The sequence below is a fragment of the Homo sapiens genome, chromosome 20 (assembly GCF_000001405.40).
Source record: "Homo sapiens chromosome 20, GRCh38.p14 Primary Assembly".
Classification (NCBI taxonomy): Eukaryota; Metazoa; Chordata; class Mammalia; order Primates; family Hominidae; genus Homo; species Homo sapiens.
Genome location: NC_000020.11, coordinates 2,669,887 through 2,692,645, shown reverse-complemented (window position 1 = coordinate 2,692,645; position 22,759 = coordinate 2,669,887). Strand labels below are relative to the sequence as shown.

The window sequence follows — 22,759 nt, the reverse complement described above, 5'->3', positions numbered from 1 at the left end:
CGGGCCCGGGCCGCGGCGGCGGGGCGGACCCTGGCGAGTCGGTCGCCTGGGCTGGGGGCTGCGGCCTGGTCGAGGCCGCGGGAGGGAACGGAAGAGCCCGGCGGGGGCCACGGAAACCCGCGCAGGGAGGATCCGGGGCCGCGCGGCGAGGGAGCCCGGCCCGAGCGGGAGGTGCGCGCCCCGCTGCGCTCGGGAACCTCCGCGGCCTCCCCGTCGCCGCCGGACGAAGCCCCGGCGTCTTCGCGGCCTCATCTCCCTCCCCCGGCACCCGCCGTACTCTCCGCGCCCGACGCCTTGTGCCTGGACTTGCTGCTCATTTTGACGCCTCCGAGCTTTCGCTCTTGACGTCTTTCTCCCGCGTGACTGTACTCCCGCATTTCCCCGGCGACCCTGACCTCACTTTCACCCCAGCTAAGGACTGAAACGTCCCTGCCGTAGGCTGCGGCCCCAGACAAGCTGGGCGAGGTCCCTGCATCCAACCATCCCGATTCCTGATGCTGGGTTACCTAAGCCTAAAGCATTTTCAGTTTCCATCTGTGCCTTTCAGGAACCTCCTGATTTCTGATTGCGAGTTGGACAGGTAGGCTCAGAGCCCAGCTCACCTCCTGTTTCTCCCCAGCCGCGTCCCGTCTCAGATCCCATTCCTTTTTTTTTATTAGTTCCTGGCACAGAAGTCGTCTGGCCCTTGACCGTGGGGCAGAGACATTTCTGCCCCTCTCCCCACGTTGTCCTGGCCAGGCTTCGAGCAAGCCCAGACTGAGTCCAGCACTTTCCTGCAGAACAGCATGGGGGCCACCTGCCCTGCCTGCCATGTTCACGCTCAGACACCCCTGCAATAACACCTTCCTGCTCCAACTCACTCCCATCCTCTTCTGGGGGGCCTCCAAGTGTGAGTTAGCGTTCTGTCACACATTGGCCCAGATGAGGCGTCCTGGGGGCACTGCTGGTTCTCCTGCCATCACAGAGGCCCTCTCACCTCCTTTCCTGGTCTCTTTACCACCCCTTCTCTCTATGCCTCTCCCCATCACCCACAGGGGGCTGCCATTCCCACCAGGACTCCTTCAGGTCTCAGCTTTTACCCTAGGTGGGATTATCAAACATGGGTTTCTCCTTAAGACAATTCTTAAGCCAGTCTCTTTCTCCATCTCCTGATCTGCCTCTCTAAATCTTGCTTCTCACAGTGTGGTCCCCGGACCAGCAGCATTGACATCACCTGGGAGCTGGTGAGGAATCCAGACTCTTAGGCCCTGCCGGGACCTGCTGAATCGGAACCTGCAATTTACCAAGACCTGTACACACATTACATGTGAGAAGCCCCCCCAGAGCTGTTCCACACTTGCTCCACTCCTCTCCCCAACATTCAGACCCACCTCTGGCTCTCTCATTTCCAGCAGACACCCTTCCTCTTACCCAGTGGAGAGGACTCAGGGAATCTTGGCAGAACCCTGCTGGCACCATCAGCGGCGTATGCTCCTCCTCGTTTCTGTCTTTTCACCCGTTCTCTTCTCTCGGTCTTCCACTGTGGAGATGGATGTGGAACCTTTTTGCTTAGTCCTGTCTTCTGCCTTTCCTGAGATTACCCCACCGATCTCCTGTTTGTGTCTCAATATGTTCTTTTCTCTGCTCAGATCTCCCCATTCTTAAAAGAACTGTCCCCTCCTCCTCGCCTCCTTCTTCAATTTCTGCCCCTCCTGTGTCTGAGACCGTTCACAGGAACGCTCTGCCAAGGATGCCTGACTGGCCCCCAGCAAGCCACTCCTGGGGCCCTTGTGTGCTGGCTCCCTTCCAGCCCTGCCTTCCTGCTTCTGCTCTCAGACTCCGTGGTCTCTCTTGGGCTTCAGGGCCTGGGACCTCCTGGCAGCAGTGGGCTACCCCACCCCCCAACCCCACACACACGGGAAACCACCCTGGTGACCAGATATATATATATATATATATATACACATATATATATGCATGTGTATGTATTTACACACACCTGGGAAATATATATATCTGGTGTATATATATTTACACACACCTGGGAAACTGCCCTGATGACCAGAGCACACTGTCTTTCTCCTCTGCCCTCTGAGCACCTCAAGCTGCTGTGCCTGGCGCTCTTCTTCTGTTCTCCCCTCACAGAATTCACGTTCCTCCACAGTCTCAGAGAACATCTTTGAGGAAATGGTCTCCCCATATGGGACTCTCACTTCTGTCAGTCCTGAACATCAGTGGGTGAGGACAGGGCTGGGCTTGGCCCTCAGAGAGGAGAGGAGCACCTGCCTCCGGGGAGGGTCCCTATCCCAAGAGGCTCTGTCCCTAGGCTGGGATGGGGCTTCTTGGTCTCCACAGGTTCACTCTCCACCAGCCAGCTCTTCTTCCTGACTCCCCTGTGTCTGTGCTGGGCACCTCCTCCTGCTGCCCACCAGGCTTGGAGTTTGGGAATCATCTCCAATACTTTTCTCTCCCTGTCCTGCAGCTACCTGTTTGTTTGGTCTTAACGGGTCCCCCTTCCCTTTCCTCCCTACCCCAGTGCCCACAGAGAATATCTAACAGCAAAACGTACTTTTCCTCCACTGGACTCCACCCTGGCTTGGAGCAGATATGGAATTCCCAGTTCTGCCCACAGCCTCCTCCCTTAGCTCCCGTCCCCAGCTGCTCACCCCCAAACACCCCCATCCTCCTGCCACAGTTTTAAAAAGTGTTGCTTGGATTGGGCCATCGCCTGCTTAGAAACTTAAATGTCTTTTGTGGCTTCTCAAATAAACATTTAGGCCCTTAGTTTGGGAACATTCTAGGCCCTTTGATGCCCTATCCAATTTCTCTTGCCGGCCAGCCTTACCTCCACTCCCTTGCTGTGTGAGTTTCTTGCTTATCCAGCATGGGAGATCACACCGTTTCCCAAACCCAGCTCCCTGTCTCCCAGCTCCAGCCTTCATGCTGGCTGGCCCTTCCTGCCGGAATGCCCTCACTTTGCAGCATTCCTTTTTGTGATGGTTGAAGTGATTTGGTTGGAGTGCTTTTCATTCTGGAAGGTTGTCCCCAAGATAGATTGGGGGATAGATGCTCAGAATTAACCTGCGCAGAAGGTGGAATCAGTCAGCCCAGGAAAGTGGCACTGAGTTAAGGCTCAGTCATAGCTGGGGCAGACTCCCAACTTGCGTGGGTTTCTGTTCTATCCTAACCACATGGAACAGAAAACCAGCCAGGATGGTGTTTGAGGCTTCCCAGAGCCTGCAGCCCCAGAGAAGGGCTCCTGGGTTAGAGCTGCTGAACCAAGGGGTGATGAAGGGAGGAAGGTCAATGAGCAGTTCTGGGGCAGCACTTGGGGGTCAGAGGTGAGTGTCTCTGCTTTAGATCCAGGTGAAAGTCTGTTGTTTCTTGGAACCCTCTGTGCGCTTTTATTTTGCATTAGTTATCTTATTTTTTAACCTTTTATTTATTTATTTTTTTAGAGTCAGGGTCTCACCCTGTCACCCAGGCTGGAGTGCAGTCGCGCGATAATAGCTCACTGCATCCTCAAACTCCTGGGCTCAAGTCCTCCCTCCTTAGCCTCTCAAGTAGCTGGGATTGCAGGTGTGCACCACCATGCCTGGCTAATATATATTTTTTTTTTTTGAGACAGAGGTCTTGCTATGTTGCCCAGGCTGGTCTCGAACTCTTGGCCTCAAGTGATCCTCATGCCTTGGCCTCCCAAAGTGCTGGGATTATAGGTGTGAGCCACTGTGCCGGCCATGCATTATTTATCTTAGTTCCTTTGTATATTGTCCCGTTCCAACTGCTGCATCTTCTCCATGAGAAAGGAATTTGGTGGGTGGGGTGGGGCGAAGTGCTCCAACTGTGGCCACAGAGAGCTACAGGGGTGGTGATGACAGAGGAAGCGTGGTGCACGCCTGCAGAGAATGCCACTCTTTTCTGGCAGGGGCTCACCACAAACCCTTAGGCCAGAGCCTTGGGTCTCATTCTACCCTTTCATTGTGCTCATGTCCACGAGAAGGGCTTTTTTGTGAGTGGCCAGTGCTAGAGAGTGAGCAGATAATGAAACCCAGGTGGCGCCCTTATGAGCTCACAGTCAGGTGGCAGGAGACTCATGAATGCTCAATGTCACTCTGGAGTGACCTGGGCTGTTACAGAAGCGGAGCAAGTCCTGGGACAAGCACAGAAAAAGGGCCTGAGCCTGAAGGTGAGGAGGGGCCCGGGAGCAGCTTGTGTAAGGACTAGCAGAGCGGAATGAATGGGTTTGCTGCACTTCCTTCAAGGTGGAGGTTTTAGCACCCAGCACCGGGAGGGTCATGCTGGTGCCTAACATGCCATGCTAAGGAGTTTGGACATTTTTTCTGTAGGTCTAGTCATAAAACAATGTTTTTTTTTTTTACATCAGCAGAACTCCCCCACGCCTCCGCCGCCTTAAGCGGGTGCAAACCGTATAAAACAGATAGGAAGTGGTGAGTTAGGCTGAGGCGCGCTTGGCCACGCTGTGTGTTGGGCCATAGCGCCCCCCGGAGGCCCCAGAGTGTGATGCCGGCACTTGGATCCACTTCCTGTCAGATCCCCGATGGTAATTAAAATGAAAGGAGGAATACAAAAACTAAAGCGCGCATTAATTATGGCAATTCTCATAGTTCCATGAAGAAATCCAGAATGACAAGGGCCATCCAAGAAGGTGGTCTGGTAGGTATGCGCCAGCTCTGGGCCTTCCTCGCTGTTGATTCCTGAGGCCTCTTCAATTGCTTCAAGAAAACCCCACACCACAAGTATTAGTCTTGCCTTAGGATCCATTCCATCCCACATCTAGGCCCAGTTATTCAATCTTGAATAATAAAACAATAGGAGCTATCGTGGTGGACCCTTTGGCAGGAGAGTCGAGCTCCTATCCCCAGGCTCTGGGATCATTGGTCCTGGTTGTTCACACACCTGCCAATCACAAACCACTTCAAAGACACCCGGTCTCAATGCCCATTGAGGAAGAGGAAGGGGACCGTTTTCCCAGTGCAGCAAGCTATGCCCACTCCCTGCTATTTTGCAGAGCACGGCTGTTCCCTGCAGTCTCAAACCTAAAACTGCAGCAGCACCCAACACTATCCCTGACGGCTGCCCCTTAGCTACTCATAGGCAATGGCAACAATTTTGAAATATTATATACACACACACACACACACATATATATATATATTTACCGGTGGGGCAAGATCAAATTCATTTTCAAATTGTTGGGGAGGGCCAGGCGCGGTGGCTCACGCCTGTAATCCCAGCACTTTGGGAGGCCAAGGAGGGTGGATCATTTGAGGCCAGGAGATCGAGACCAGCCCAGCCAACATGGCAAAAACCCGCTTCTACTGAAAAAAACAAACAAAATGAAACAAAAACAATACAAAGAAAACAAAAATTATCCGGGTGCAGTGGCATGTGCCTCTAGTCCCAGCAACACAGGAGGCAGGGGCTCAGAACTACTATAGAGTACTTGAAATAAATAAGTAAAAGCTCAGCGCAGTTAAATTCCAAGTACATGGGGAGCAAACCTGAGTTCAAGTTACTTGGTTTAAATCAATGTCTCGCCACTGGCGTAAATTGAACTTCAGTACTATGGCTACATTGTCTTCATTCTCACTTGACCCAACATCCGGTTGGCAGTAGGTGCGTTTATTCTAGATCACGTTTGAGTCTCTTTTTTTTTTTTTTTTTTGAGATGGAGTCTCGCTCCCGTCGCGCAGGCTGGAGTGCAGTGGCACGAGCTAGGGTCACTGCAACCTCCACCTCCCGGGTTCAAGTGATTCTCCTTCCTCAGCCTCCCGAGTAGCTGGGATTATAGGAGTGGGCCACCACGCCTGGCTAATTTTTGTATTTTTAGTAGAGACGGGGTTTCGCCATGTTGGCCAGGCTGGTCCCCACCTTCTGACCTCAGGCGATCCACCCACCCTGGCCTCCCAAAGTGCTGGGATTACAGGCATGAGCCACCGCGCCTGCCTTGAGTTTCCTAAAATGCTGAACTTAAGTCAGAATCCCATCTCTGCCACTCACTGGATTTGTAAACTTATACTGAGCCTCAGTTTCCCATCAAATGAGAATGATAGCACACAGTTGTGAAGGTGAAATAAAATTAAACACGAGGAAAACAATTTTACAAACTTTTGAACACTATACCTGTGTAAGGTTGCTATTCTGGGCGTTCAGCACCTTGGGTTTTCCTGTGGAAGTGGGAAAGATATATAACTGTCTTTGTTGGAGACATTAAGCAGCTTATTTCATTTTCCAAATAGATACTAGGGACAAATATTTATACTTAAACTATTACATTAAAAGCAAAAAAGCAAGAGCATAATATTTAAAAAAAAAAAAAGCATGAGAAGTGCTTGAACCCAGGAGGAAGAGGCTGTTACAGTGAGCCAATCGTGCCACTGCACTCCAGCCTGCGCAACAGAATGAGACTGTCTCAAAAAACAAAAACAAAAACCCAAATTGCTGGGGAGGTAGGAGGAGGGTGGGGGAGTGGGGGTCTAGAAGAAAGGAAACTATTATCCTTGAGGTAGAGCAGGGTGCGGTAGGGGTAGGGGGTGAGGGGAATATAGGGTAGGCAGGAGGGAGCTATTTTTCCCCTTGTCCCGGGTGAAGTGGGGAGAGGACTTGGCAGAGGCTGATTCTCCATGAGGCTTAATCTTCAGGCTTTCATCTACACCGGCCCCTTCCAAGGACCCTCGAATATTCCTCGTGACAGGTTCACATGGTTACATATAATTGTGTATTCATAATTTTGTATTCTTCTTAAGGAGTTACTCCTCCAATTGTATAAGCTTCAGGTCTCCCAAAATCTAGATCTTCTGGTGGGACCTGGAGTTGGGTAGGAACAGTTCAGGTAAGAGATAATGAAGACCTAAACTAAAACAAGTTCAGTGGGGAGGGATGCGTTTCTTAATAGAAAAGTGCTATCATTTACTGGCCTGTAGCTCTTACAGATGAAGATGTTTGATTCTTTTCTTCTTTTCTGTATCCATAGTGCTGTGAATAGTCCTTGAAGGATAAATATTTGTGGATGAATACTTGTCTGGGAGGTAGAGGTCAGAAACTCATGATGGATTGCCTATGTGGGGTCCCACAGGGTGCCCCAAAGAGATGAGCTCCCAGCCGGGCGCGGTAGCTCATGCCTGTAATCCCACCACTTTGAGAGGCCAAGGCAGGTGGATCACCTGAGGTCAGCCTGGCCAACATGGTGAAACCCTGTTTCTACTAAAAATACAAAAAATTAGCTGGGTGTGGTGGCACGCACCTGTAGTTCCAGCTACTCAGGAGGCTGAGGCAGGAGAATTGCTTGAACCTGGGAAGTGAAAGTTGCAGTGAGCCCATATTGCGCCACTGCACTATAGCCTGGGTGACAGAGCGAGACTCTGTCTTAAAAAATAAAAATAAAAAGAGCCCCCCACACCTATCCCTTGTCACCTATCCCTACTCTGCTGTGTCACCCAGGCCTATTCCTGGTGTTGGGGAGAGAGGTCTTAAGCTCTCTCTTTCCTTAACCTTCAATGGCTGCTTGGCCTGGGGGAGCGAGGTCCTTGGAATGTGCCATGTGGTGGAAAGAACACCGGACTTGGGGTCTGGAGACCTGAACTCAGTAGGCAAGTTACTGACTTATTCTCAGCTGTAGTTACTTCATGGATAAGCCTGAGGTGCTGGTGGCCAAGTGATGCAACCGTAAGTGGTTAACAGCTTCCTCTTTTTTTTTTTTTTATTATACTTTAAGTTCTAGGGTACATGTGCACAACGTGCAGGTTTGTTACATATGTATACATGTGCCATGTTGGTGTGCTGCACCCATGAACTTGTCATTTACATTAGGTATATCTCCTAATGCTATCCCTCCCCCCACCCCACAACAGGCCCCGGGGTGTGATGTTCCCCTTCCTGTGTCCATGTGTTCTCATTGTTCAATTTCCACCTATGAGTGAGAACATGTGGTGTTTGGTTTTTTGTCCTTGCGATAGTTTGCTGAGAATGATGGTTTCCAGCTTCATCCATGTCCCTACAAAGGACATGAACTCATCATTTTTTTATGGCTGCATAGTATTCCATAGTGTATATATGCCACATTTTCTTAATCCAGTCTGTCATTGTTGGACATTTGGGTTGGTTCCAAGTCTTTGCTGTTGTGAATAGTGCCGCAATAAACATACCCATGCATATGTCTTTATAGCAGCATGATTTATATTCCTTTGGGTATATACCCAGTAATAGAATTGCTGGGTCAAATGGTATTTCTAGTTCTAGATCCCTGAGGAATTGCCACACTGACTTCCACAATGGTCGAACTAGTTGACAGTCCCACCAACAGTGTAAAAGTGTTCCTATTTCTCCACATCCTCTCCAGCATCTGTTGTTTCCTGACTTTTTAATGATTGCCATTCTAACTGGTGTGAGATAGTATCTCATTGTGGTTTTGATTTGCATTTCTCTAATGACCAGTGATGATGGGCATTTTTTCATGTGTCTGTTGGCTGCATAAATGTCTTCTTTTGAGAAGTGTCTGTTCATATCCTTTGCCCACTTTTTGATGGGGTTGTTTGTTTTTTTCTTGTAAATTTGTTGGAGTTCTTTGTAGATTCTGGATATTAGCCCTTTGTCAGATGAGTAGATTGCAAAAATCTTCTCCCATTCTGTAGGTTGCCTGTTCACTCTGATGGTAGTTTCTTTTGCTGTGCAGAAGCTCTTTAGTTTAATTAGATCCCAGTTGTCAATTTTGGCTTTTGTTGCCATTGCTTTTGATGTTTTAGACATGAAGTCCTTGCCCATGCCTATGTCCTGAATGGTATTGCCTAGGTTTTCTTCTAGGGTTTTTATGGTTTTAGGTCTAACATTTAAGTCTTTAATCCATCTTAAATTAATTTTTGTATAAGGTATAAGGAAGGGGTCCAGTTTCAGCTTTCTACCTATGGCTAGCCAGTTTTCCTAGCACCATTTATTAAATAGGGAATCCTTTCCCCATTTCTTGTTTTTGTCAGGTTTGTCAAAGATCAGATAGTTGTAGATGTGTGGCATTATTTCTGAGGGCTCTGTTCTGTTCCATTGGTCTATATCTCTGTTTTGGTACCAAATCAATAAACATAATCCAGCATATAAACAGAACCAACGACAAAACCACATGATTATCTGAATAGATGCAGAAAAGGCTTTTGACAAAATTCAACAACTCTTCATGCTAAAAACTCTCAATAAATTAGGTATTGATGGGACGTATCTCAAAATAATGAGCTATTTATGACAAACCCACAGCCAATATCATACTGAATGGACAAAAACTGGAAGCATTCCCTCTGAAAACTGGCACAAGACAGGGATGCCCTCTCTCACCACTCCTATTCAACATAGTATTGGAAGTTCTGGCCAGGGCAATCAGGCAGGAGAAGGAAATAAACGGTATTCAATTAGGAAAAGAGGAAGTCAAATTGTCCCTGTTTGCAGATGACATGATTGTATATCTAGAAAACCCCATCGTCTCAGCCCAAAATCTCCTTAAGCTGATAAGCAACTTCAGCAAAGTCTCAGGATACAAAATCAATGTGCAAAAATCACAAGCATTCTTATGCACCAATAAGAGACAAACAGAGCCAAATCATGAGTGAACTCCCATTCACTACTGCTTCAAAGAGAATAAAATACCTAGGAATCCAACTTACAAGAGATGTGAATGACCTCTTCAAGGAGAACTACAAACCACTGCTCAACGAAATAAAAGAGGATACAAACAAATGGAAGAACATTCCATGCTCATGGATAGGAAGAATCAATATCGTGAAAATGGCCATACTGCCCAAGGTAATTTATAGATTCAATGCCATCCCCATCAAGCTACCAATGACTTTCTTCACAGAATTGGAAAAAACTACTTTAAAGTTCATATGGAACCAAAAAAGAGCCTGCATTGCCAAGTCAATCTTAAGCCAAAAGAACAAAGCTGGAGGCATCACGCTACCTGACTTCAAACTATACTACAAGGCTACAGTAACCAAAACAGCGTGATACTGGTAACAGCCTCCTCTTAAAAAATAAACTTGCTTTGTAGCATTTGCTGAATTTGTGGTGACTACACATTCCTACCATGGCTGATTTCAAACTACTAATGTGATATCACTGAACATGTTAGGAGAGACACACCATAGCCTCTTCAGAGCCTGAGCAATCCGATTCCAGCACACTCCTGTGTGGGTCTCAAGGACTAGGGTCTTACTTTATTTGAACAAAATGTTGGATGACGGACTCCCATATTCTGTGCCAAGCTGTATATGGGAAATTCTGTCTTCTTCCTCTTCCTCTTCTTCTTCTTCTTCTTCTTCTTCTTCTTCTTCTTCTTCTTCTTCTTCTTCTTCTTCTTCCTCTTCTTCCTCTTCTTCTTCCTCTTCTTCCTCTTCTTCTTCCTCTTCTTCTTCCTCTTCTTCTTCCTCTTCTTCTTCTTCCTCTTCCTCTTCTTCTTCTTCTTTTCTTCCCCTTCTTCTTCCCCTTCTTCTCCTTCTTCCCCTTCTTCCCCTTCATCCGCTTCTTCCCCTTCGTCCCCTTCTTCCCCTCTCTTCTTCTTTCTTCTTCTTCTCCTTCTCCTTCTCCCTTCTTCTCCCTTCTTTCTTCCTTTTTTTTTTTTCAAATGCAGAGTCTCACTCTGTTTGCCCAGACTGGAGTGCAGTGGCTCGATTTTGGCTCACTGCAGCCTGGACCTCTGGGCTCAAGCGATCCTCCTGCCTCAGCCTCCTGAGTAGCTTGGACTACAGGGGTGTACCATCACACCTGGCTGATTTTCTAAAAAAATTTTTATAGGCCAGGAGCGGTGGCTCATGCCTGTAATCCCAGCACTTTGGGAAGCCGAAGCAGGTGGATCCTCTGAGGTGAGGAGTTCAAGACCAGCCTGGCCAACATGGTGAAACCCTGTCTTTAAAAATACAAAAAAATTACCTGGGGTGGTGGTGGGCACCTGTAATCCCAGCTACTTGGGAGGCCGAGGCAGGAGAATCACTTGAACCTGGGAGGCGGAGGTTGCAGTGAACCAAGATCGCATAATTCTGCTCCAGCCTAGGCAACAAGAGCAAAACTCCATCTCGAAAAAAAAACAAAACAGTTTTTTTTGTAGTGACAGGGTCTTGCCAAGTTGCCCAAGTTGGTTTCAAGCTCGTGGGCTCAAATAATCCCCCTGCGCTGGCCTCCCAAAGTGCTGAGATTATAGGCATGAGCCATTGCAGCCAGCCCAGCTGTTCTTTTTGCTGGTAAGATCATTTTATGTGGGCAAGATGTATGTGGATGATCACTTTGGCCCAATATCCATCTTTGTTTTTAATTAAAAAATTATTTGCCTTTTTAAAATTATGACATAATTGACAGCAAAGTACCCAGATATTACATGCGCATGTTGGTAAATTTTTACACACATATACACCCATATAACCAACCATTCAGATTAAGATACAGGGCATTTTCAACATCCCCAAATCCTCTCTGGTGCCTACTCCCAGTGAACACTTGCCGCTCAAGAGGTAACCCCCTCCTGATTCCTTGCACCATAAACTAGTTTTTCTCATTCTTGAAGTTCATGTAAATGACATCATGCATTATGTAGTTTTTAAATATCTGGCTTTCACTCATCATTACCTGTGAGATTTATCCACGTTGTTGTGTATAAGAGTGTAATTCATTTGTTTTCATTCCTAGGTAGTATTCCTAGCACAAACTTTCAATAGTTTTAACTTTTTTTGTTGTTGTTGTTGTTGAGATGGAGTCTCGCTCTGTCGCCCAGGCTGGAGTGCAGTGGCGCGAACTCAGCTCACTGCAAGCTCCGCCTCCCAGGTTCACGGCAGTCTCCTCTCTCAGCCTCCTGAGTAAGTGGGACTACAGGCGCCCGCCACAATGTCTGGCTAATTTTTGTATTTTTAGGAGGGACGGGGTTTCACCATGTTAGCCAGGATGGTCTCGATCTCCTGACCTCGTGATCCACCCGCCTCGGCCTCCCAAAGTGCTGGGATTACAGGCGTGAGCCACCGCGCCCAGCCAGTTCTAACTTATTAAAACTTTTTTATGCTTCTCATGCCTGCTTTTGTCTCTCAACTCTGAAACTGTGGATCCCACTGGCCACATACTCAGTCCCATAATGCTCTATTTCTCCTTGGCCCTGACCTATCCTCTACCACTTCACCTCCAACATCTGCCATGCCCTTCAGAATCCCATCTGTAAGGCAGTGGCTTACAGATGCAAGCACTTCTGGAGGCCAAGGCAGGCAAATCGCTTGAGCTCAGGAGTTTTAGACCAGCCTGGCCAAATGGTGAAACTCTGTTGCTCCAACAAATTAGCCAGGCCTGGTGATACATGCCTGCAGTCCCAGCTACTCGGGAGGTTGAGGTCAAAAAAAAAAAAAAAAAAGAATCCCCTCTGCAAAATTAACCAACTTCCTCATATTTTCAACATTTCTTTTAAAACTTTCTCTCACCACCAGCCTTAACTGAAACCTGAATGACACCTGTTATGGAATGAATGTTTGTCTCCCTTAAATGCATATGTTGAAATCCTAACCCCCTAATTAACTGTATTTGGAGATAAAGGCTATGAGGAGGCCGGGCGTGGTGGCTTACACCTATAATCCCAACACTTTGGGAGGCTGAGGCGGGCAGATCATGAGGCCAGGAGATTGAGACCATCCTGGCTAACACAGTGAAACCCTGTCTCTACTATAAATACAAAAAATTAGCCGGGCGTGGTGGCGGGCACCTGTAGTCCCAGCTACTTAGGAGGCTGAGGCAGGAGAATCACTTGAACCTGGGAGGCGGAGGTTGCAGTGAGCCGAGATCACGCCACTGCACTCCAGCCTGGTGACAGAGCGAGACTGTCTCAAAAAAAAAAAAAAAAAAAAAAAAAAAAAAAAAAAAGGCTATGAGGAGGTGATAAAGGCTGAAATGATAAAGGTCATAAGGGTGGATCCCTATCCGATAGGTCTAGTGCCCTTATGTGAAGAGGAAGGGACACTAAAACTCTCAATCTCCACTATGTGAGGACACAATGAGAAAGTGACCATGTGCAAGCCAGGAAGACAGCCCTCACCAGGACCCAAATCAACTGGTACCTTGATCTGCGACTTCCCAGCCTCCAGAACTCTGAGAAAATAAATTTCTGTTGTTGAAGCCACCCAGTCTATGGCGTTTTGTGATGGTAACCTGAGCCAACTAAGACAACATCCAAGGATGCCTTTTTGCCTAAGGCATTCTCTAGCAGTTACTGTTTATTCTCTTTCACTTTGCTACATATAAATATCTTGGATTGTATTTTGCCCTCCTTTCAAGATAAGTTACTTTGTTACTGTTTCATGAATGCTGGCAGAAGACAGGAGATTCCTAGATTAGAGACAAAGCAAAGCATATTAACACAGCATAGCAAGTAGCAAAAGCACCCTGTTTGTATCAGCTCCCCTTGTTCCCTAAGTTCCACAAGGAAAATGGGAAGGAGCCTTATGGATTCTGTGCATGCACTGGGTTTGTGCCCCACGTGAGGAACATTGAGCCTGGGGAACCCCCTCTTTCATAGACAGCAGTAAGCAAGTCTGCTCTTTGTCCTGGAGAGAGATATTAACCTCATTCCTCAAGGTGGCTTACTGCAATGCACGACCCTGAGAAACAGCCCAGGAAAGAGGGGTCAGGGCCTTGTAGTCTTGGCATACTCAGTAAAAATGTGCTGGGACGTTCAGGGCCTCTGACAGCTTTCCTCTCCCAATAATTGACCTTACACATTCTTGGCCAAAGTGGAATATTCCCATGAGTATACCACTCCATCTGCCACTCCAATCAATCTGATCACCCTAGACTGGGACCAAATTTGCTCAATTTGTCTCATACAGAATTTACTACCAATAGAACCTCAAGCAAGATGAGGCCAACCAACAGTATTGGCTTCAACAATGCCACCCGGCGTCTCAGACTCAGTCACCTGTGAATAAGTCTCAAGGGGATCAGTAGGCCTTAGTAGGCCAGGATACAGTCTAAGGCCAGGTCATTATCCATTACAACCTGCATAAGTGAGTTCTAGACTAATCTACTGGTCCTCAATGTCATCGCCAGTAATTATATGAAGTGATAGATGGGCCAAAAGCAACCCTCATCCCTAATGGAGAGACATCACATGGCCCACATACAAACATACACCCAACAGGTTACGTGTTACTTGAATTCAGAATTTGTTGTTGATTCTGATTTGGATTATCATTACACTGGTTTGGTTTAGCCACATGGATGGTGTCACCTAACGCTTGCATCCTCAGACACCATACATGAACCAAAGCCACGTGGGTGACAGGAAAAGTGCCTGTGTTTGTACCAATCAGACAAACAAGGTTGTGCTGGATGGTGTGTTTGTGCATGTATGGGGTAAGGGGAGGTTCCATATTTGGGAGCTGCCATTGATGGCTGGCAAAGGCCACAACTGAATAGCCAGGACTGGCCACCTCCTTATGAATTCCCCTGTTTTCATAGCATGCAGGCAGCATGATAAATCCAGAAAGGGTAAGACTGTCAGCTGCAGCTGCTGCTCAACTCAGATGAACGAGATGATGGTTTTTCTAGGTTTCAATGCTGGATCTAGGGGACAAAGAGCACATTGATCATTCTCCACTGTTTGCACCTGCTGGCATCTAAGGTGTCTTCTCGCAGGCTTCCTGGCTATGAAAGCAGCATATCTCATTCCAGTAGCCATAACTTCATCATTTCTCCGATCTTTCCCTACTCATACCCAGACCTTTTGTCTGCTAGAGCGAGGCGTGAGTGAGACAAGGACATTTTTACAAAATTTACAGACATCCATTGTATCTCGCACCTTGGCCTATATGAGCCAGTGTGAGAGAACTTGGCAAGGAATGTACTCAACCAGTGTACTCAATTTGGCAAGCAATTGTATTCAATGAGTACACTGATCTGGGATCAGGTTAATCTGTCAAGAGAATCCAAGTGGCTAAACCAGAATTAGAGATAAGTTTGAATCCCCTAAGTCCCCTTTTGCCGGGCTGACACCTGGAGGGTGCACCAAGCAGGCTGGTGTGGGGTTGCTGTTGGGTTAGGGGTGGGAGAGGAAAGAAAAAAGAAGCACCATGCTCCCAACTTTTCAGAATAGATCTATATAACCCTCCACCTGTTTTCATCCTGATCAGTACCCAGGAAGTGGCTGAAAGGAGATGATCTTTGGAGATAGCTGCATTCAGTGATCATACTGCCTCGCTGAAGTATGTGGCCCAGAAGGAGTTGATGGAGGTAGTCAGAAGCTTTGGAGGAGGCCATTCCAGTGCTCAATAATACCAGATACTAGCAGATGGTAGGGAGCCTAGCATGTCCATCGAATACTTTGACTACTGGCCCATTGTTGGGCGGCTTTTGCAATAAAAGGTGCATCACTGTCAGACTGTAGGTGGTCTGAGAATCCAAAAACTTGACATGACTTAGTTTCAGGGGCCAAAATAGTGTGACTGGGGCCCCAGACTCTATTCAGACTAGAACAGACAAGAACAGCAACATTGTAACCTGAAAACGTTCTGACAGAAGTGAGGCACCAATGACACAGCCTGGGGAGGGGGTCAGCTATCTGATATCTGGACAATCATCCAGGAGCAACTGGGGGCAATACTCTGTGTGCAATGCGGCCTCCTTCCCTGCAAGACAAATGGCTCAAATTTTGGGAGGCACCACAGCTCTGGTATGTAGTGGTGTCTTCTGCATCAGAAACACATAGTTGTTTTGTTGTTGTTGTTATTGTTTTTTGAGACAGAGTCTCACTGTGCAGTGATGCGATCTCGGCTCACTGCAACTTCTGCCCCCCAGGTTCAAGCGAATCTCCTGCCTCAGCCTCCCAAGTAGGTGGGATTACAGGCGCCTGCCACCACACCTGGCTACTTTTTGTAGTTTTAGTAGAGATGGGGTTTCACCATGTTGGCCGGGCTGGTCTCAAACTCCTGACGTCAAGTGATCCGCCTGCCTTGGCCTCCCAAAGTACTAGGATTACAGGTGTGAGTCACTGCGCCTGGCCTGAAACAGTTTTTGATTTTGTGCTCAGTCCACGATGGTGAATGTGTTGTTATGTCTTGTTCGATGACGGATCTAGGTGGTGATGGTGGTGGTATGGGCAGTGAAGTCTGGATCAGCAGCTTGACTACAGTTTGTCTCATTAGAGAAGGGCCCTTACCATGGGCATCTCTGTGAGTAACTTGGGCATCTGATTGGCAGCTGAAATTATTTCCACAATATGCAGCTGCAATAGGGAATGTCTTTAATCTTCCAGTCTTGTGGGCAAGATAGCTAGGCCATTGGCAACCACACAAAAGGCAGTAAAAATGTAGAAGGGTTCATCACGGGGAGTATTGGCCAGAACTATCAGCACTCCCTTGAGCTCTGTCCATTGAGTGGAGCAGTCATGCTTGCTTTTTTTAAAAAATTATTATTTATTATTATTTTTTTAAATTTGAGATGGAGTCTCGCTCTGTTGCCTAGACTGGAGTGCAATGGCGCGATCTCGGCTCACTGCAACCTCCGCCTCCTGAGTTCAAGCAATTCTCTTCCCCTAGCCTCCCAAGTAGCTGGGATTACAGATGCACGCCACCACGCCCGGCTAATTTTTGTATTTTTAGTAGAGACGGGGTTTCACCACGTTGACCAGGCTGATCTGGAACTCCTGACCTCAAGTGATCCACCCGCCTCGGCCTCCCAAAGTGCTGGGATTACAGGCGTGAGCCACCACGCCCAGCCCATGCCTGTTTTTGGTTCTGCATAGCTGGTGCTGAGGTTGAACGTGGACACTATAAGGTGTCAGCCTAGCCAAACCATCATTGTACCAGGCCAGGTGCCTAGGGAACCCTCTGTGACTTGAGGGCCCCATTGAGCCAGCAGCTTTGCTTCAAGTGGTGAAGTTAGGAAAAGATTTCCCCTGAAGGGATTTTTGCTGCCACTTTTTCATGTAAAACCCAGCTAATATTAGGACCAGGCCAGCTGTGTTACTGAATACAGTATTTCCATTGGATTAATAATGCCTTTTGTGCCCCTCCCTTAGTAGCCACCAAATCCAAGTTGACCCATCCCAAAATGGGAGTGTCAGTTTGGAGAGTCACAGGAACTTTTTGGGTCAGTAACAAGTTAGTGGGCACCTTTTTAAAAAGGGGATGGGGGCCTGGCATGGTGTTTCATGCCTGTAATCCCAGCACTTTGAGAGGCCGAGGAGGGCAGGTCGCTTGAGGTCAGGAGTTCAAGATCAGCCTGGCCAACATGGTGAAACTCTGTCTCTACTTAAAAACAACCACCAAACAAAAAAGCCAGGTGTGGTTGCGCATGCCTGTAGTCCCAGTTACTCGGGAAGCTGAGGCAGGAGAATAGCTTGAACCTGGGAGGTGGAGGTTGCAGTGAGCTGAGATCATGCCACTGCACTCCAGCCTGGCAGCCGGGGAGACAGAGCAAGACTCTGTCTTAATAAAATAAAGTAAAATAAAATAAAATAAAATAAAATAAAATAAAATAAAATAAAAAAGAGGGGATGGGGCCGGATGTGGTGGCTCAGGCCTGTAGTCCCAGGGCTTTGGGATTATGGAGGGAGGATCACTTGAAGCCAGGAGTTCAAGACCAGCCTTGGGAACAAAGCAAGATCTCATCTCTACAAAAATGTATTTTTAAAATTAGCTGGCATGGTACGTGGTGGCAGGCACCAAGCTACTCAGGAGGCTGAGTGGGGAGGATTGCTTGAGCCCAGGAGTTCCAGGCTGCAATGAGCTGTGATTGTGCCACTGCATTCCAGCCTGGGCGACAGAGAGAGACTGTCTCAAACAAAAAAGGGGGATGGGGGAGGGATGGGGCCAGGTGTGGTGGGATGGAAGGATCACCTGAGGGCAAGGAGTTTAAGACCAGCCTGAGAGACCACGTCTATGAAAAATTTTGTAAAATTAGCCGGGCATGGTAGCTCACAGTTGTCGTTCCAGCTGCTCAGGACAGTGAGGTGAGAGGATGGCTTGAGCCCAGGAATTCAAGACTGCAGGGGGCTCTGATGGTGTCACTGCACTCTAGCCTGGGTGACAGATCAGCAACCACTCTCTAAACAATTTTTTTTTTTTTAGGCCGAGTCTCGCTGTCACCCAGGCTGGAACGCAGTGACGTGATCTCAGCTCACCACAACCTCCGCCTCCTGGGCTCAAGCAATTCTCCTATCTCAGCCTCCGGAGTAGCTGAGACTACAGGCGCATGCCATCATGCCCGGCTAATTTTTGTATTTTTAGTAGAGACAGGGTTTCACCATATTGGTCAGGCTGGTCTTGAACTCCTGACCTCAGGTGAACCACCTGCCTCGGCCTCCCAAAGTGCTGGGATTACAGGCGTGAGCCACTGCACCTGGCCTCTAAACAATTTTTTTAAAGCTATGTGCTTGGTGAGTGTGTCAGGCAGGTGGTGCTATTGTGCTTGAGAACAGCCTCTGAGTAATCTGGCCACCTTTGAGACTAATTTTCAGATTTCCCTTTTCCTTCCTGATTTTTTTTTTTTTTTTTTCAGATGGAGTCTTGCTCTGTCGCCCAGGCTGGAATGCAGTGGCACGATCTCGGCTCACTACAACCTCTTCCTCCTGGGTTGAAGCGATTCTTCTACCTCAGCCTCCTGAGTAGCTGGGATCACAGGCGCCCGCCACCACGGCCGGCTACTTTTTGTATTTTTAGTAGAGACCAGGTTTCACCATGTTGGCCAGGCTGGTCTCAAACACCTGACCTCGTCATCTCCCAGCCTCAGCCTCCCAAAATGCTGGGATTACAGGCATGAGCCACTGCACCTGGCCTCCCTCTTGAAAGTCTAAACTGTTTCTCCTGGACCATCTAAGAGGGTTCAGAAACCACCTTTCCACATGTGGCAGTCTCTGAAAGGGCGAATCCCATCTGACACTTATGGGCATTGGCAGTACAGGCCGGTATGAGCATCAATACCAGTAATACATTTGCAGTGAAAGCCACTGAATTGGCCCAAGGGCCCCACATGGAGCGTTACTTAATTTGCCTTCTTCCACTGCAAACTTTGCTCAAAGCCTATCAGTTGAACTTGGGGGATTTTTTACCTTCTGGGAAAACAAACCAAGGTGTTTAGTGTGTGCACATCAGGAGCAAAAGCAACAGCTGCCGGGAGCTCAGGCTAGCTCACAGGGTGCAGCTAGGAGGCTTTTATTTCTCCTTGGCCCCTGGCTTCAGGGTTGGCATTGCTGCTGCTTCCTCTGTGTAGCTCCAGTGTCCATCCAGAGAGTTCCCAAGCCCCGAGGCCCCTTTCATTTTGTCCCCAGTCCACACTGCAGTCCTGGGGTGGTGCCTTCAGCCATCTCTGCACCCATCCACGGAACTAGGTAAGATGGTGAATTGGGCACTTGGGCCCAACAGAGATATACAAGTTTTGAGGACTTTGCCTCCGTGAAGTTCCCCAGCATACTCAACTTTTTCATTACAACAGCTGAGCCAGACACGGTGGCTCACGCCTGTAATCCCAGCACTTTGGGAGGCCAAGGCAGGTGGATCGCTGGAGCCCAGGAGTTCAAGACCAGCCTGAGCAACATGGCGAAACCCCGGCTCTACAAAAAATAAGCCAGGTGTGGTGGTGTGCACCTGTGGTTCCAGCTATTAGCGAGGCTGAAGTGGGAGGATCACCTGAGCTCAAAAGGTCGAGGCTGCAATGAGCCGTGATCATGCCACTGCACTCCAGCCTGGGTGACAGAGCAAGACCCTATCTCAATAAATAAATTAATAAATTAAATAAAAGCAGCCGGAGGTGGAGTAGAGCGGGAATAGAGGGATTGGGGAACACAGGGGAGAGAGCGAGCCTGTGCCAGTGAGCAAGGCTTCCAGTGGCCACCTGTGGGGCTTATCCAAATACCTTGTAGTGTTTTGGGGTCACTGTGAAGCTCTGTATCAAACATGATGGCTGATACCATGTATTTCAGCTTTGGGGATTCTTTGACTCAGCAGCCACATCCATGTTGCCTTTTGAGTGCAGCTGTGGGGCTTGCTGCCCCCTTGTCATAACATCCCTTCCTCCTCCTGAGCAAGAAACGAAGCACCGTTTGAGTGGCTTGTTTCAACCCTACCTCTCGTTGCTTAAACTCATTAAGGTAGGACAGTGTGAGCTCCTTATCCTATCCACCCTACCCCTGCCACCCACCATTTGGGTGAGAGGATCCACTAACATATGCCAAGGAGTCTTTTCATATCCCCTAATCTGGTCCATAAGGTCCTTATCCTTCCTCTTCCAGAAAGTCATGTTTATCAGCAGCCTGTCCTCATTGCCAAAACTGTCAGGGCCTGGCATTTGAATTTTCCCTGCTGATGTGTGAATAATTCGCCTCTTACTGTTTCATGCATGCTGGCAAAGATGAGACTCCCGAGTCAGAGACAAAGGACTTTATTAAGGCACAGCAAGCAGCCTAGGCAGCATGTTTATATTGACTCCCTCGTCCCCCTGTCCCCTTGTCCTCCAGGGGGCAATGTGGAGGGCCCTGGTGGATGCTGTGGGTTTGTGTGGCATCTAGGGGAACACTGAGCTTGGGGAACCCACCCCTTTCACAGCAGGGAATAAGCAAGCCTGCTCTTTAGGAAGATAGTTCCTCATTCCTCAAGGTTGCTCCCTGCAAACACAAGCAATAATATACTTTAAGAATAAATACAGACTGGACGTGATGGCTCATGACTGTAATCCTAGCACTTTGGGAGGCTGAGGTGGGTGGATCACTTGAGGTCAGGAGTTCAAGACCAGCCTGGCCAACATGGTGAAACTTCATCTCTACTAAAAATACAAAAATTAGCCAGGTGTGGTGGTGCATGCCCATAATCCCAGCTACTTGGGAGGCTGAGGCAGGAGAATTGCTTGAACCTGGGAGGCAGAGGTTGCAGTGAGCTGAGATCGTGCCACTGCACTCCAGCCTGGGCGACAGAGTGAGACTCTGTCTCAAAAGAAAAAAAAAAGCAGAAATGCATAATATGATGTCTCGTAGTAACTGGTATAATTGAGAAAATAAAGCTGGGTCAAGGTGATAGGTATCAGCAGTTTCACTTGGCTTGACCTAATATATATGTGGGAATTTGGTATTTGACAGAATACTTTGGTAGAATTACTTATCTGGAAGAAAAAATAATGAATGATACTGGGCAATTAGCCTTGGAAAAATCATAAAGTTAGGGCTTTATCATTTATCTTTTGTAAAACTAAACTTCAGATAAACTAATCACTGAAACCACATAAATACACCACACTAGGAGAGCATTAGACAAAATATTGGAGAATATGCTTATCATCTTGAGGTAGACGAAGTCTTGTGAAACAATTTAGAGCCTAGAAGGAAAGGACCAGCACACTTCTGTTTCACATGGGAGGTAAGCAGAAATGGTGTGTGCAACTTCTGGGAAGTGCCAGTAAAGGTCTGTGGGCCTCTGCTCTTCTATTTCTCTGTCCTTCTTCCTGCCATTGGAATGCTGGAGCTGGAATAACCATCTTGGATCTTGAATGACCTTGGGAATGAAGGCCATGGGAGGTGGGCCAGCAAGATCATGAGTCTGTGCCTTGACACCATGCAGGCCCTTCCAGCCCTGGACCATTGATCACTGAATTTTTTTTTTTTAATTTTTGTAGAGGTAGAGGGTTCATTATGTTGCCCAGGTTGGTCTTGACCTCCTGGCTTCCTCTTGCCTCAGCCTCCCAAAGTTCTGAGATTACAAAAATGAGCCACTGCACTCAGCCTGCTGAACTTTTATGTGAGCAATAAATAAACTCCTCTCTTGTTTAGGCTTGGTATGTTGTATGTTGTCACTTGCAACTGAATATAATCCTCACTTATACACCTGCCCAGCCCTAGATGAAGGATCATGATTGGTGGAACCCAGTGGTTCTCAACTCTGGTCAGTTTTTAGAGTCATCCATGGAGCTTTTCAAAACAGCAGTGAATAGGCCCCATCCCAGACCAATTATATCAAAACCTCTGGAGGTGAAGCCCAGATAGGTATTTTTTAGAGCTCCCAGGTGATTGTAATGTGCAGCTAGGATGTGAAGTATTCGTTTAAGCCAATCAGGCAAATCTATTCCTCTCTTTCCTAGACTTCCTTGCAGTAGGAGCGGTCATGGATTTGGTTCTGGCCTGTGAGTCCTAAGAAACCTTCTGGGAATGTTTTTACATTTCTGATAAGAAGAAGTGGTTGTGGCTGGGACTGTTATTTCTTCTTTTCCATCTCTGAATGCAGAAGTGATGTCCAGAGCAACAGCAGTCATATTGTGACTATGAAGCACCAAGGATGAGGACATCAGACAACACACTAAGGCTGGCAGAGCAGAAGGGAAGACAGCCTGGATCCCTGGGGCATCACCAAGCCGCTAAACCATTCTCAGTAACTCCTTACCTTCAGAGGTGAGGGGGGAAAAACAACCCATATTTGTTTAATGAGTTTTCTGTTTATTGCAGAACATATTCATAACTGAAACATACACATGGTACAGGTGCTTTGTGAGCTCTTTGTGACATTCATCGTGTGTACAAAGAAAGATGTACAGTAAACTTGTCCAACCCACGGCCCAGGACGGCTTTGAATGCAGCCCAACACGAATCCGTAAAACTTTTGTAAAATACACGAGCTTTTTTTTCCTTTTTTTTTTTTTTTTTAGCTCATCGACTACCATTAGTGTTAGTGTATTTTATGTGTGGCCCAAGACAATTCTTCTTCCAATATGGGCCCAGGGAAGCTGAAAGATTGGACACCCTGATATAAAGATATGTACACAGCAATGTTGCTGATAATGG

General features: G+C 47.7%; 1 long non-coding RNA gene across 3 annotated transcripts; it reads left to right on the top strand.

Moving 5' to 3' along the window:
• The first annotated feature begins 25 nt into the window (after window positions 1-25).
• On the top strand, window positions 26-22,369 carry LOC105372507 (uncharacterized). 3 transcript variants are annotated; one of them, XR_937210.3, is made up of 3 exons: window positions 26-580; window positions 1,182-1,306; window positions 22,206-22,369. It is a non-coding gene; the product is annotated as an uncharacterized LOC105372507 (long non-coding RNA). The 3 variants fall into 3 exon arrangements; XR_937211.3 differs by lacking the exon at window positions 22,206-22,369 and adding an exon at window positions 22,063-22,199; XR_937209.3 differs by lacking the exon at window positions 22,206-22,369 and having other exon boundaries at window positions 1,182-2,779.
• Window positions 22,370-22,759: the final 390 nt, after the last annotated feature.